Source organism: Homo sapiens, chromosome 16, assembly GCF_000001405.40.
Source record: "Homo sapiens chromosome 16, GRCh38.p14 Primary Assembly".
In the NCBI taxonomy this organism is placed as follows: Eukaryota; Metazoa; Chordata; class Mammalia; order Primates; family Hominidae; genus Homo; species Homo sapiens.
In genome coordinates, this window is record NC_000016.10 from 48,244,758 (window position 1) to 48,260,711 (window position 15,954).

General features: G+C 38.4%; 2 protein-coding genes across 12 annotated transcripts in view; one reads left to right on the top strand and one right to left on the bottom strand.

The window, feature by feature from the left end:
• ABCC11 (ATP binding cassette subfamily C member 11) overlaps positions 1-2,782 on the bottom strand; it is an 82,721-nt gene extending 79,939 nt beyond the window's left edge. For 2 of the 5 annotated variants that reach the window (XM_017023798.3, XM_017023797.3), the window contains exon 1: positions 2,725-2,782. The gene's annotated coding sequence lies outside the window, so the exon portion shown is untranslated. Of the gene's footprint in view, positions 1-102; positions 247-2,556 lie in introns of those variants that run through there. The other 3 variants (XM_017023801.3, NM_001370497.1, XM_017023800.3) reach the window with 2 other exon arrangements.
• LONP2 (lon peptidase 2, peroxisomal) overlaps positions 1-15,954 on the top strand; it is a 118,704-nt gene that overhangs the window by 458 nt on the left and 102,292 nt on the right. For 5 of the 7 annotated variants that reach the window (NM_001348078.2, XM_047434738.1, NM_031490.5 and 2 more), the window contains exons 2-4: positions 7,374-7,608; positions 11,853-11,984; positions 13,861-13,983. In NM_001348078.2, coding sequence (NP_001335007.1) covers positions 7,374-7,608; positions 11,853-11,984; positions 13,861-13,983 — 490 coding nt within the window. The remainder of the gene's footprint in view (positions 1-7,373; positions 7,609-11,852; positions 11,985-13,860; positions 13,984-15,954) is intronic. The other 2 variants (NM_001300948.3, XM_017023756.2) reach the window with 1 other exon arrangement.

Sequence of the window (15,954 nt, forward strand, 5' to 3'; positions counted from 1 at the left end):
ATCACTTGCAAAATGGGGATGTCAGATACCTGCCCCATGACCATGAATGAGATCGTTCATGAAGTAGTGCCTGACACCTGGTGAAACTACGCAGTTCCCTACCGTTCTGGATAATTTAATTTGAATCCTCTTCCCCCTCTCCGCAATTCCTCGCCCTCGGTCTTCAGCCTCCTAGGCCAGTGCTTTTAACTTTCCAGGCCCTTTCTTTCTCCCCGGTGATCTCTGCCTTCACTTGCCTTCGCTTTTCACCTTTCTCCCCACTGCCCTTTACTCCTATCCGCCTCCCCTTTTCTGTCACCCATCATTTTTGTCCGCTGAGGCATTCTCTGCTCCGTGAGTTTTAACTTTTCCTGTTTCATTCCTAAACTGCACTATTTGTGGGTGCCTTTCTTCTATACTCCCTGCCACCCTTCTCCTTCTCCCCCTAATCCTTCTGTTTCCCTTTGTAAAGGGCCTTTACTGCTCACATTTTCGCTGGTCCCCCTTTCTGGAACTTTCCTAGCTTCTCACCTCTGCTCCTTCACTCATAACATTTCTTAGGCCCCAGGCTTACTACTATATTGCCCAGTACCCTCGCCCTATTGGTGTGACTTTGGGTGAGAGCTTTAACCTCTATTTCTTTTATTCTGCAATTTGGAAACTGACAGCATCCATCTCTTAGGCAAGTTATGAAGAATAAATTGAATAATGTGTATATTCCACTTTGCACCATGCATGATGGATGACTTTGCTGTCCAGTACTGTGTAGTGCATGTGGCTCGTCAAATTGAGATGATAGAATTGCCAGTTGTCCTGGTTTGCTGCGATTGTCTGTTTTAGCATTGAAAGTCCTATGTTTTAGCCCCTCCGTCCCAGGGAAACCAGGAGGTTGGTCACCCTAAATGTGCTGTAAGTGTACAATACACGCCAGATTTTGAAAAAACTTTTTGATTAATACATTTTATATGGATTAAATGTTGGAAAGGTAATATTTTGAGTACTTGGGGTTAATAAAATGTTAAGATTTCTGCTGTTTTTACTTTATAATGTGGCCACTAAAATTTTATATGTGGTCCACATTATATTTTTATTGGACAATGCTGGTATATCGTATGCTCTCAACAAGTATCTTCAAACTCACCTGCCAAGCACCCGCCTCCTATTCCTAACTCTACTGGAGGTGTTGTGTTTTCAGTTTAGAGCTTCTCCTTTCCTGGCAGTTATCCCTTATTTTTAAATTAGGGGTTCCTGACTCTGAATGGATTTCCGGAGGGTTGGACATGTCTTATTTTTCCTCAAAATCTTGTGACTATGTACATTTTTTTAGGAGAATCCTTTGCTTTCTTCAGATTCTCAAAGGAGACTGGTACCTCCCCCCACCCCCGTTAAAAGAAAGCAAAACAAAGCAACAAAGACCAACAAACCTTCCACAGCAGCCCAGTATTCATTTATATTGTAAAAGCCTTGATTTTCTCAAGCATGGAAAATATTTTGGCTCCCATCTGACCTGCTTTGGTTATTGCCTGAGTGGAATTGGTCACATTCCAAGTTTCAGTACTCTTTGATAAATTGTATTGGATTCTAGTTTCCCAACATACGACTCTGCTCCTTCTGCTTACTTTTCCCAAATTATTTTGCCTTCTGTGCCCAGGCACACTTAGTTCCCTGTCTAGGCAAGAGTGGTCATTATTAGACTTCATTTTCTTTCTACTGTGCATATGTATTGATTAGCCATGGGCACATTGTGAACTTGAAAAGTCGATTTAGTCACATTTTAAGTTTCACTATTTGTTGGTATTATTCTGGCAAGATTTTGGAAGGTTTTTATTATTTATTCATTTGTGTATTTTTTGAGACAGAGTCTCATTCTGTCTCCTCCGCTGAAGTGCAGTGGCGTGATCGTAGCCCACCGCAACCTTGATTGAACTCCTGGGCTCAAGTGATCGTCCTGCCTCAGCTTCTGGAGTGGCTGGGACTATAGGCGTGCACCACTACACCCAGCTAATTTTTAAATTTTTTGTAGAAATGGGGTCTCACTATGTTGCTTAGGCTGGTCTCAAACTCCTGGACTCAAGCTATCCCCTGCTTTGGCCTCTGGAGTAGCTGGGACTATAGGCAAGCGCCACCATACCCTTCAGGTTTTTAATTTATTTTATGAAAATCCCTCCAAAGCAACAATCCTCAATTCTCCTGCTTGAAAGTAATCACTAATAATCAGGTACTGTGTGATCTGATCCTTGATGTTCATATTATTGCCTTTAACTGAGTAGCAATGTTAAAATTTAATCATTTAAATTAGAAAACATATATTGAAAAGTCTTCATAGAAGTCCGGCATTATAAGAACTCATCAGACCATCTAGTTATCCTAGAAGTATTGTTTGCTACTTAAAAAGCCTATGTGGAAAGATTGTACCATATTCCTTGGTAATAGTTTCCAATGTCTTTTTTTCTCTAATAGGGCCTTTAAAACACTCTACTTAAAAAAAAAAAAAAAAAAAGGCTTTAACAATACCAATACTGAGTAATCCATAGCATTAGCCTGTTTCCACGCACAAGTCTGTCCTTCCCCAGTTACCTGCTTTTCTGTATGGTAGCCCAGAGGCCAGAAGAGGGGCTCTGTTCCTTTCTCTTGTTTCCTTTGCGCTATCCAGGTGACGCTGGCACAGCCTTCAAAGAGCAGCAGAAGTAATTTGCTCCCAGCGTTCTTTGCCACACAGAGTGGCAGGATTAGATGTTGACTTACCTCTGCCACTTCCTTGGTGGTTTTGAGTAGTACAGTCCCTTTCTGCACGTTAGTGTGCAGGCATGTTGCCTGCAGGAGCCTTTTTAAAGGAGGAGCTTTGGACTTGTCCTGCAGTATAGAACTTGGCTGGCATGCTGACCCAGGGCACCCTGCATTTTTCTGCTTAGTAGAACTGCATTTTTAGTGCTTCCTGAGTGACCCATTGTTTTCTTAGTGAAAAGGGGTCATAATTTAGTACTACCTGTACAATATCCTTTCAAGCATTTCAAGATGGTCATCCAGCTTTCTTCCAAATTTACACTTTTCAGGGTACATGGCTTCATTTCCTCATAGTGCCGACTTCTCAGTCTCCCTCACCAGGCTGGTGTCAAACTTGTGAGCTCAAGTGATCCTCCTGCCTCTGTCTCCCAAAGTGTTAGGATTACAGGCGTGAGCCACCATGCCTGGCCTATGTTTATAATTCTTGTAGGTAGAAGTGGTACCTATTGTCCATTGTAATGAGAAAAAAGTAAAATTTGTCTTAAAATATAATTAAGGAACTCAATTTATTAAATTTAAATTTATCCTTTAAATTTTAAATTTAAATTTATTTCTTAAATTTATTTCTATTACATTTTCTTGTAACCATGTACACCTAAGTTGTTCTACTTTAATTTTTTTGAGACAGGGTCTCACTCTGTCACCCATGCTGGTGCAGTGGTGCCATCTCAGCTCACTGCAACCTTTGCCTCCCAGGTTCAAGTGATCCTCTCACCTCAGCCTCCTGAGTGTCTGGGATTACAGGCATGTGCCACAATGCCTAGCTATTTTTTTTTTTTTTTTTTGGTGGAGACGGGGTTTTGCCATGTTGCGCAAACTGGTTTCGAACTCCTGAGCCCAAGTGATCCACTTGCCTCGGCCTCCCAAAGTGCTGGGATTATAGGTGTGAGCCACCATGCCATGTTCTACCTTTTTGAATCTCATTTACTCACTTGTAATAAGGAAATAATACTACCTTCTTCATGGGGTGAAGGGAGGTATAAAATGAAGTATACATATGAAAGCCTTTTGAAACTGCAAAGCATTCTAAACCTATATCCAAATGGGTAGTTTTAAATGTAGATTTTCACAAAAGGGGATTAAAGAGAGGAGTGGGGAGGCCCCATATTATTCCAACACGGGCTGAACTGAACTAACATCATTGCAGGAAGGTCTTGGAAGATTAAAGATTCCAAGAAAAATTAAGGGCTTTGAGTAAAAAAATTTTTTAAAAGTGGCTGGGCCTGGTGGCACGTGCCTGTACTCCCATCTACTCATGATGCTGAGGCGGAGGATTACTTGAGCCCAGGTGATCGAAGCTGCAGTGAGCTATAATCGTACCACTGCACTCCAGCCTGGGTGACAGAGCAAGATTCTGTCTATAGGAAAAAAAAAAAAAAAAAAAGCAAGTGCTGGGCATATAGGCTGGAATTAGATATTTACATAATATCCTCATCTTGGAAAACTTTTTCCAGTAGTGCTGCTTTTAGATTTTCCCACTACTGCAGTTGATGGTTCTTAAATATGTTTGGAACTCTTATATTATTTAGGTCAGTTTCCAAATTACACAAATTGTAACCATTGTAGTCAGACCTCACTTGAATGAAAACAATATTTTACAAACTCTGAGGGTAGATTCGAGTTAGGATTTGGATTAAAACATTATCTTAAAACCTCTGAGGGTAGATTCGAGTTAGGAGTTTCAAAACTTCTTTGAACAATATCATAATTAGGATGTAGATTTACAGAGCTACTAGCTAAAGGGAAGGACACCAGTCATTGGGATGTATAAGTTTGGATCTGTTGCAAAATTAAAATGCTGCCTTTTGAGCATGCCTAATAATGCACATACAATAGAAGAGCCAGAATTTTTAGAAAAATGACTGACTTGATATACAACCTTTTGTATATCATAGAAGGAAAATATTAGTTGAGTATTTTGTTTATTTACCTGTTTGTATATATAAAACCTGGGGCCCAATATACAATAGATTCTTTTTCACTATGCTTTTCACCCACAGTGTCTCACCAGGTACTCTGTTTCTAGCCATCTATAATTTCATAGATGTTTTTCTTTAAAAGGGATGTATTCTAGGCTGGGCGAGGTGGGTCTTGCCTGTAATCCTAGCACTTTGGGAGGCCAAGATGGGAGGATTGCTTGAGGCCAGTAGTTGGAGATCAGCCTGGTCAACATCATGAGATCCCATCTCTGTTAAAAAAAGAAAAAAAAATTTTTTTAAAGGGATAATTTCTAGTCAACTATAAGTGATTTTAAGTAAAAAGCAATTAAGGCATGTATACATCTGTACCTTTTGTAGGCATAGTATAAATTCAGCTTAATCTCTTCAGTTTGGAACATCTTCCTTTCACAGCAAAAATATTGTATTTGCTTTATAAGAAAACCCCTTTTGGCCAGGTGTGGTGGCTCACGCCCGTAATCCTAGCACTTTGGGAGGCTGAGGTGGGTGGATTACCTTAGGTCAGGAGTTCGAGACCAGCCTGGCCAACATAGTGAAACCCTGTCTCTACTAAAAATACAAAAATTAGCTGGGCGTGGTGGTGTGTGCCTGTAATCCCAGCTAGTTGGGAGGCTGAGGCACGAGAATCCCTTGAACCCAGGAGGCAGAGTGCAATAAGCCGAGATCACGCCATTGTACGTCAGGCTGGGCGACAGGGTGAGACTCCCTCTAAAAAACAAACAAAAAAACCACAGTGGCTCACACCTGTAATCCCAGCACTTTGGGAGGCCAAGGTGGGCGAATCATGAGGTCAAGAGATCGAGATCATCCTGGCCAACATGGTGAAACCTCATCTCTACAAAAAATACAAAAAATTAGCTGGGCGTGGTGGTGTGTGCCTGTAGTCCCAGCTACTTGGGAGGCTGAGGCAGGAGAATCACTTGAATCTGGGAGACGGAGGTTGCAGTGAGCCAAGATTAGGCTACTGCGCTCCAGCCTGGTGACAAAGTGAGACTCCGTCTCAAAAAAAAAAAACAAAAAACAAAAAACAACTCTTTAGCATCACCTTTTAGCAATGACATAGCCCAAATAATTAAATTTGTCTCCTGATCGGAGATTTGGATTTGTCTCATCTCTCTTTCTGGTTCCTCCTTGGTTTCTACTTTGTAAACCCTTTAGGCCGGGGATCCAGTTTCTTGTCTGTGGATGTTTTATATACAAACAGGACTGTGAGCTCTTTCAGCATTGTACAAACAGTGATGAATATCATCTGCAATTAATTATGTTTAAGTTATTCTCTAATCAGTTTAGAGGTGGCTCACTTCCTCAGGCAATCTGAGTGGGCTTTCAGGAAGTGGGAAATATTATCTACTATTGATTGAAGAAAAGCAGCCACAACACAAATAAGTCAAAATAATAGCTAATTGCTAAATAATTTCAAGTTTTTTATGTATGTGATTTTTTTCCCTCACCAATTTATCTTCTCAGTTGTTTGGCTTATTATTTAAATCAGTTTTTATTGTAAACATGGTAATGACTGAAAGGTAAGAAAAGGATAGACGTAGTTCAGAATAAACTGAGTGGCAGAAAGAAGCCAAAGGCTATGTGTAATCTACGGAATGAGTAATTTATAAGGAAGTAATCAAGAATTCACTGTGTATAGAAGTAAGCAAGTTCACTCACATAGTCACATACTGTATTACATGATTTATTATCTTTGAGATGGGCAGGTGTGGTGTTCTTCTATTACCGCTTTCCTAGGGTGTTGAGAGTTCTAGTCCTTCTATTTTCTTTTCTGGAATTACCACTTTTCCTATGGCTGAAGGGAGAAAATATTATTTATTTTGGGATCTGGAATTGTCTTCTCAATGTTGATTTTTGTATTTTATATAACTGACTTAGTTTGGATGAGGCTTCCTTTCTGTGAATTAAATTTATATGTGACTTGATCAGAGTTGTATTTGCTGATGAGGAGCTGAGACTTGAAGCCTTTTCACCTATTGTTAGGTAAAATGATTACCACTTAGAACTAGGTTGAGACCTTTTGAGATGTGGGTCTTTCTTTAGCTCTCCTCAGTCTATGGCAGTGTGTGGACTGTAATATTTAGCCCTCACACTTAGAAATTCAGTGTTAAGGGCATATATATAAGTTCCCAGTATGTGATGGCAGCTTGTGATAAGGTGGGTATGTGGAAGTTTCATAGACTGATTATGTAAGAAAACTGACTTGATGTTAGTAGCACAACTGGTGTTGGAACGGAGATTTCTTAGATTGGTTTATGCTATTTATATTTAAATGTATTTAAATTGATAATATTTATCCTGGTATAAGATTGCCTTATTCTTAGTTGACAATGTTAATTTAAGATATGTAATTCTCAGCTGCTTTTCTCTTACATTTTTACGCTTGAATAATCCAAGTGTTTACAAATTCCTACCTAATTTTTTAAAAGAGGTGCAGATTATAGTGAGATGGTCTGCTTTGCCATATAGCTGAGGGTAGTGGCAGAAGAGGCCACATACTGGATGCTAAGTTAAATAGAGAAAAAATTTATTTACACTTCAGATGTCTTTTGCTTAATGAATGTATCAGAAAAGCCAACACTTTCTGAAGTGAGTTTCTGTTCTACCGTATTGAATGTTTGTAATACCGATGTTTTGTGTGTTTTTCAGGATTGGCACAGCTGCACTGGCCGTTCAGGTTGTGGGCAGTAACTGGCCCAAGCCCCACTACACTCTGTTGATTACAGGCCTATGCCGTTTCCAGATTGTACAGGTCTTAAAAGAGAAGCCATATCCCATTGCTGAAGTGGAGCAGTTGGACCGACTTGAGGAGTTTCCCAACACCTGTAAAATGAGGGAGGAGCTAGGAGAACTATCAGAGCAGTTTTACAAATATGCAGTACAAGTAAGTTGCTTTTATTTTTTCTTAAAACCCATTTTTCTTTGGTTCTTTTGCTTTCCTAAGATATGGTGAATCTGTTGGATAGTGAAGTTTTAGGACAGTATACATTTAAATGAGTTAGTAACATTATATATTAATTCTGATTTACTCTTATCTGGGGTTGTACCTAAATCATTCCAGGACATATTGGCCTACCCTTTCTAAAGTTTTCCAAATGTTATTTCTACAGCTTTCCTTCTAACTTCTACTGTCTCTAAACTAGATAATTATTAAACCTAAATATTTAAAGCTAAAAAACGAAATACTGCACAGAAGCTGTCTGTCACTAAAATATCTAGGCACCATTTATATAAATTACAATATATTACTTCAAAAGTCAAGATCACATTGTCTAGCAGTAACTATGGTAGATCAAGCCTGTGGTGGGCTGATTTCAAGTATGGTTAAAACCTTGATTAACTAGAATGCTGGGAAGGAAGCACATTTTAGATATGCATTAAATATTTGACTCTTTAATTCTAGTTCTTTTTGGTTAACTCTAGATAGAACAGAAAGCTCCTATTCCCACCCCATTTTGTTTCAAACCTTAATGAAACATAAAATTATAAAGTATAGTCTTCTACTTTTCTATTAGTTTAATCCAGTGACTATAACTAGATCTATGAGGATCAGATAATGTTTAAAAGTCACAATTATAAATACTACTGATCATTGAAATATGTGTGGGGCAAGTGTTCATAGCCAGTGGTATTTGTATCTGATGTGGCATTTGAAGAGCCATACTTACAGTGTAATGAACAATAACAGAAAAATAGTAAATTTGAGGGCCAGGTGCGCTGGTGCACACCTGTAATCCCAGCACTTTGGGAGGCTGAGGTGGGTGGATTGCTTGAGCCCAGTAGTTCGAGATCAGCCTAGGCAGCATGGTGAGATCCCGTCTCTACAAAATGTACAAAAATTAGCCGAGTGTGATGGTGCGTGCCTGTAGTCCCAGCTACTGGGGAGGCTGAGGTGGGAGGATTACTTGAACCTAGTAGGTGGAAGTTGCAGTGAGCCAAGATTGCATCACTGCATTCCAGCCTGGGCAACAGAGCGAGACCCTGACTCAAAAAAAAAAAAAGAAAAATAGAAAATTTGAATCTGTAATTTCTATATGGGCTGAAAGAAAGCACTTTGAGGAAAGAAATTTCAGTTTGAAAACTGGAATAAGTGAATATACTGCTTAGGAATAAAGGAGATTGAGAGAAATAGAATTTCTTTTTCTTTTCAGCAGTGATGTTCCCTGGGTCTTTGTGCCTCTATTGGACATAGATAGCTTCATAGCCTCTTTTGCTTTGCTTTTACTTCTTTGTACTTTGAATCTAGAGGAACTTTTTAAACTTGTAAAGATTTTGCAGTGACATTAAAGGAATTTTTAGAAATAAATAGATCACCACACATCTTACTGTCATCATGCATCAAATTTAATTTTTGTTCGTCTTCTGGGCTCAGTTCATATTCAATTATATGTTTTGTTTTTGTATCCATGTCTGATGTTCATATTAAGTACTTTTGTTAATTTCATTGAGTTAATGTATACTAATTTTATAATTTCTCTTTTTAGACATTAAAGTTATTTCCAATTATTCTCTTTCATCCCCTTCTGCATCTACTTCTACTTCTGCATCTCTTCAATGAACTTCTTCAATAGCATCCTGTCTCCTAGTTCTTCTGTCTTGAACCTTTTCTCTTCACTGAGCCTTTCTAAAAGAAGTCTGGGGCATCCCATTCCCTTGAGTAAAAGACTTTAATGGCTATAGGATGGACACCAAATTTCTTAGTATAACATTAAGACCGTTTGCAACTTGTCTTGGGCCTATCTGTCTTGCGTCAACTCTAGTTATCACCTCACTGACACCCTAGTTCTAGCTCTACTGAATGTAAAACAGCTTCACATTGAGTTATTTTATGTCTCTATGATTCTGCCTTCAGTTCTCTGCTGGGAGTGCTCTTCCATCTCTGATTTTTTTTTTTTTTTTTGAAATGGAGTCTTGCCCTGTTGCCCAGGCTGGAGTGCAGTGGTGCAATTTCGGCTCACTGCAGCCTCCGCCTCCCGGGTTCAAGCGATTCTCCTGCTTCAGCCTCCCAAGTAGCTGGCATTACAGGCATGCGCCACCACGCCCGGCTAACTTTTTGTGTCTTTAGTAGAGATGAGGTTTCACCATGTTGGCCAGGCTGGTCTCGAACTCCTGACCTCATGATCCAACCGCCACCACGCCCGGCCTCCATCTCTGAATTTTAAAATTGAATCTATGCTTTCCCAACAGCTGTAGGCTGTTAGCGCTCATCTCTGTGTGCCTTCACAGTCTGTCATACATGTCATTTAACATAATGCTTATCACATTGTATTGAAATGTATCTTATAGGTATTTTTTCTCTACCAAACTTGAATTCACTTTTCTCCTTTAGCCATCCTGTACTGAGCAGTGTTTTGGGTCTGGCAAATAGTTTGTACTCAGTAAATGTTTGGAAAATGAGTTTTAACTGTTTTATTTTCGTGGGGTGAATTCCTAGTAGCAAGGGTATTCAAATTTTATTATCTACTTCTTCCACCTGAACAGCTTCATCGTAATTATACTTTAATTCCCTTCATTCTAGGCAGGTAATGGATAAGTTCCAAAATTACGATGTTGTTGGAGAGGTTTGAATATTACTAGCACATGAAATCTGATTTGAACTGACTAAATGAAGGTTTAGTACATCATTATGAATTAGTGTGAACTAAGTTTTGCTATGTTAACTTCTCTGAAATCTCAGTCGCATAATGTGAGTGTCTTTCTGGCTCATGCTTCATGCCTGAGACTAGTGGGGGTTGTGTCTGCCTATTAAAGTCACTCGGACCCAGGTGGATTGGAGATTCATCTAAAGACATGCTTCCCTTATCTCTAAGGCAGGAAAAGGAAATGGGGCGCATCTCTCATTGGCTTGTAATGCTTCTGCCCAGAAGGAGCTGTCACTTCCACTACGTTTCATGGATCAATTTAAGACTCATAGACACACCTATTAGTATATTCGAAGGAAGTTAGAAAGAGCAGTGCCCAGAAGAAAAGGGGAGTTTGTCAGTAGCCCTAATGACTATCACAGTTACTGAAAGTGTGCCTTGGGCATAATCTATCTTAACTCCCAGATATACGCTGACAGTTGTTTTTCTAAAAGTCATTCACAGTGCTCAGATTCTAGTTAGTCCAAATTGATATGGTTTGGCTGTGTCCCCACCCAAATATCACCTTGAGTTGTAATAATTCCCATGTGTCAGGGGGCGGTGCCAGGTGTAGATAATTGAATTATGGGGGCGGTTCCCCCATACTGTTCTCTTGGTGGTGAATAAGTCTCACAAGATCAGATGGTTATATAAATGATAGTTCCCCTGCACACGCTGTCTTGCCTGCTACCATGTAAGACAGGCCTTTGCTTCTCCTTTGCCTTCCTCCATGATTGTGAGGCCTCCCCAGCCATGTGGAACTGTGAGTCCATTAAACCTCTGTCTTTTATAAATTACCCAGTCTCTGGTATGTCTTTATTAGCAGTGTGAGAACAGACTAATACAAAATGTTATACTAAATATTAATATTTCATCCTCTGATTGGCCGTGATAATAGCATCAACTATGCTAAATTTCTAATAATACACATATTTCTAATAATATGCATCTAATAGGGTTTATATTGTGATTATGTAAGAGAATATTCTTGTTCTTAAGAACAAGGGTCCTTAATCTGTCACAGGATTAGAGATTTAAAGAATAAGGATCTCGATTCTGCAGCTTATCCTCAAATGTTCATTAATTATGTGTGAGTGTGGAGAGAGAGAAAGCAAACATGGCAAAATGCCACTTTTCAGTTGGTGAATTCAATTGGTGAATCTGGAAGAAGGATGTACAGGAGTTATTGTATGATTCTTGCAACTTTTTTGTACATTTGAATTTTTTTCAATAGAAAGTTAAAAATAATCATGGCACAGGTTTACAAAACCCTTGTAAACATTAGTGTTAACTACTTTTAAGCCATTATTGCTTTTCATTCTGATTGATGTTTTGAAAGTACTTTTCTTTTCCTCTGAGGCCTGTAAAATACGTGGACTATATTAATCAGTGATCTTTCAAAAACAAAGACTGAGGCCCAAACATTAAACCTAGATGGAAATCTGATTTTTAAAAATTCACAAATAATGCCAGATTTCATTTAAAAGACTTTTTTTCCCCCTTCTAGTTGGTTGAAATGTTGGATATGTCTGTCCCTGCAGTTGCTAAATTGAGACGTCTTTTAGATAGTCTTCCAAGGGAAGCTTTACCAGACATCTTGACATCAATTATCCGAACAAGCAACAAAGAGAAACTCCAGGTACAGTGTTCCCTTTTGAACGCCAGGTTGCTTTGTCACTTTTTATTGAGATCTAGATAGTGAGTAGTTAAGTTTTGACCTTCAAGAAAAAGATATTGGAGACCCAAAGTAATTGAAATGCTTTTACATTTAAACTGACTTTCAAATGTGATTGTTTTATATTTTTGTTGACACAAGCAGCTCTTTTATTTTATATTTTTGTTGACACAAGCAGCTCTTTTATTTGCATAATCAGTAATGGTAGTCAATTTACAGAAAAAGTTAAAGCAAAGAATCATAAAAAGGTAAATATTTGACTGGGTGCTCACGCCTGTAGTCCCAGCACTTTGGGAGGCTGAGATGGGTGGATCGCTTGAGATCAGGAGTTCGAGACCAGCCTGGCCAACATGGTAAAACCCCATCTCTACTAAAAATACAAAATTAGCTGGGCGTGGTGGTGCGCGCCTATAATCCCAGCTACTCGAGAGGCTGAGGCAGGAGAATCGCTTGAACCTGGGAGGCAGAGGCTGCAGTGAGCCAAGATTGCACCACTGCACTCCAGCCTGGGCAACAGAGACTCTGCCTCTAAATAAATAAATAAATAAATATTTAATTTAACTTAAATATGTAGACATTCTTTGATTCACTATTTTTAAACGTGGAGCCATGGCCCTTCCCTTATGTGTGGACCTGCTTTCTTAGAATCTTCATCATGTTTCTTATATAAATCACACCTATGATGCATTACTTATAATTTTAAATTTATATTTATTTAAAGTGAAATGAATTTTAAAGACACTTGAAAAGTAATCCAAGTATAGAATCCTACATTTACATGACTTAATCCCCAAACTGTAATACTTTAAGTTTTCTTGCACACTTATTTTTAAGATATTTTTAAAGCAGTATTTTTAATGAATCATCCTAGAATATTTGTTTGTTTTCAGTGAAACAGCTCTTTCATATGTTATCAGTTTATTTAATACTTAAATCCAACTGTTATAATAGCAAATACAACTAACACAAACAGGTTGGTTATACACAGGAATTCAATTAATCCAGTGGGAGTAGAAGAGTTACAGGACTGCCAGAGAGCCCCCTGGCTGTGGGCGGCAGCAGTGTGTTTTACTGCGGGAACAGAGAGCGGCCTGTGCTCCGACAAATCACTAGTGAGAGTTGGTTGAGTGCTTCTGTTCTCTTGTGTATGTAAACATTTAATATTTTGAACCTATAATTTGTTTAGATCTAATATGAAAACACATTCTGGGCTTCAAGAGAGTAATTCCCAGAAAGAGTTGACGTCAACTGTGTGTCTGGTTTTTTCATCTTAAAAACACACAGCTTCGGCCGGGCGCAGTGGCCCACGCCTGTAATCCCAACACTTTGGGAGGCCGAGGTGGGAAGATCACGAGGTCAGGAGATCGAGACCATCCTGGCTAACAGAGTGAAACCCTGTCTCTACTAAAAATACAAAAAATTAGCCGGGCATGGTGTCGGGTGCCTGTAGTCCCAGTTACTCTGGAGGCTGAGGCAGGAGAATGACGTGAACCCAGGAGGGGGAGCTTGCACTGAGCCAAGATCTCGCCACTGCACTCCAACCTGGGGACAGAGCAAGATTCCGTCTCAAAAAAAAAAAGAAAAAAAAAAACCACACAGCTTCATTTTAAAGTGAAAAACCAAGATCCTGTTTTTTCTTTCTTTTTTAAGGATTCTGATATTCATCTCAAACAACCTTGCTGATTAATATAGTTCATTTGGTTGTCTTAGCCATAGTGTAGCTTTGAATACTGTTAATAATTTTTTTTTAACTTGGCAATTTAAACCATGGCTCTGACTGTCTGTTTTTGGATTGTGTGTTTCTGAGAGAGATCCTATTGATTGACTCACATTTCCTTAGATTTTAGATGCTGTGAGCCTAGAGGAGCGGTTCAAGATGACTATACCACTGCTTGTCAGACAAATTGAAGGCCTGAAATTGCTTCAAAAAACCAGAAAACCCAAGCAAGATGATGATAAGAGGGTAAATATTTATTTTAACCCATTTCAGTTTTGAAAAAAAAATAAGGAGAATAAAGAGAGGAACAAAGAAGAAAAGTTTATTGTCTCCTACCACTCGCACTACTGATAAAATTTAGGTGTTTCCCTCTCATCCTTTTCTTTGCCTGGATTTTTTTTTAAAGCATGTAAGCATTTTTCTCACTTTGTTTTGGTTATCATCCAAAAGGATAATTTACTGAGCCATTTCCCCTTTTGTGTTGTTTCCAATGTTTTGTGTATTGTAAACACTAACAAATAACTATGATGGGTGTCTTTGAGTATAACATTTTTTTACTGCATGTAATACTAAGAAACTAATACAAAACTCTTTCTTAAAAGGACTATATGTTGTGTCAAAATTTGGCTGTTTTCAACTTATAATAAGTTTCCATTTTTATTTAGTCAAACTCTTGATCTTTTTTTGTTTTCTAAGCTTAAGTCCTCTAACCTTCAGTGGCTTGATAAATATTCACTTTCCTTTCAGTTTAATTTTAGTTGATTTTTTAAAAAGTATTTAATTCTTTAACCCATATATTATTTTGAAGACAGCAGTTGTATTTTTCCCTCAAATAGCTTTTTGTTTGACTCAACACCACTAATTAAATAATCCTTCCCATCCCCATTATCATCTATTACATTTATATGTATGATGGGATCTGTTTGAAGTCTACCTTGATCTGCTGATTTTACTATTTTTATGTCTGGACAGAGTTTATATTAGGAAGATATATTTGATGTGGACAGGATGTGAAAATGGCATTTCTCTGAAGGTGTTGAGATGCAGCGCTCTGACTTAAGTTGAGGCGTTGAGAATTATGTTAGCAATTTGACGTTCATCAGCGCAGAAGTCTTGTCATCAAAGAGAATACATTGTAGAGAAAGCGGAGCAGAAGGGAAGAACTCCTCCCCGGTGGGACTAGAGAAGGGGCAGTCAAGTAGGCTGAGGAGAGAGATAGGAACAGTGATGATCATGCTGGCGATTAGTACTCCAGGACACCATGCTGTTTAAAACATGCAGAAAGCTGGATTATTTCTGGCTTGAGATCAGGTCAGGGACTCAATTACTCATTTTGTATAGAGAGACAAATCCACTGGGAGTTGCAGAAAACTGCAACTTACTCTCAGTAAAGTTTGCCATCACTTAAAATGAAAGTTTTTCAAAAGTGCTCCAGAAAATAAGCAAGAGACAGTTATTTAAAAAGTAGGAATTAGGATAATATTTGGAGTTAACCTAAAACTCTCTCCTTTTTGTTCCCCTAAGAGTTGAAAAGCACTGTTTTAGCAGTCAGGAAGGAAAAATGCATTAAAAAGTGCTTTTGTCTTAACAATGAAATCACTGATATGCTTATAAAAATCTCACTTTTAAAAAATATATAATATGTTCAGTTTTTTATTTATAATATTTTATCTGCTGATGACTTATGTAAGAATAAAAGCATATATTTAGTACTTGTGTTTTTATAAAATTAAATTTTTATTTACTGCTTTATGTTTTAAACATTTTTATATTTGAATGTATTAAATAGATAAATTTTCCAGGTTAAAAAATAAGTTCTGGGCTGAATGCAGTGGCTCATGCCTGTAATCCCAGCACTTTGGGAGGCCAAGGAAGGAGAATTGCTTGAGGCCAGGAGTTCAAGACCAGGCTGGGCAACATAGTGAGACCTCATCTTTACAAAAAAAATTTAAAAAATTAGCCAGCATGCTGGTGTGTGTCTGTAGTCCCAGCTATTTAGGAAGCTGAGGTGGAAGGATTACTTGAGCCAGGGAGGTTGAGGCTGCAGTAAGCAGTGTTCATGCCATTGCACTTCAGCCTGGATTACAAAGCTTGACCTTGTCTCAAAAAATAAAATGTTCTGGGGGCTTTTAAATTAAATGCTAGTATATAATTTTGCTCCAGTAGTGGTTGTTTATTCATGAATTTCAAGGAGCATATAAGGTAGTTTTAACATAT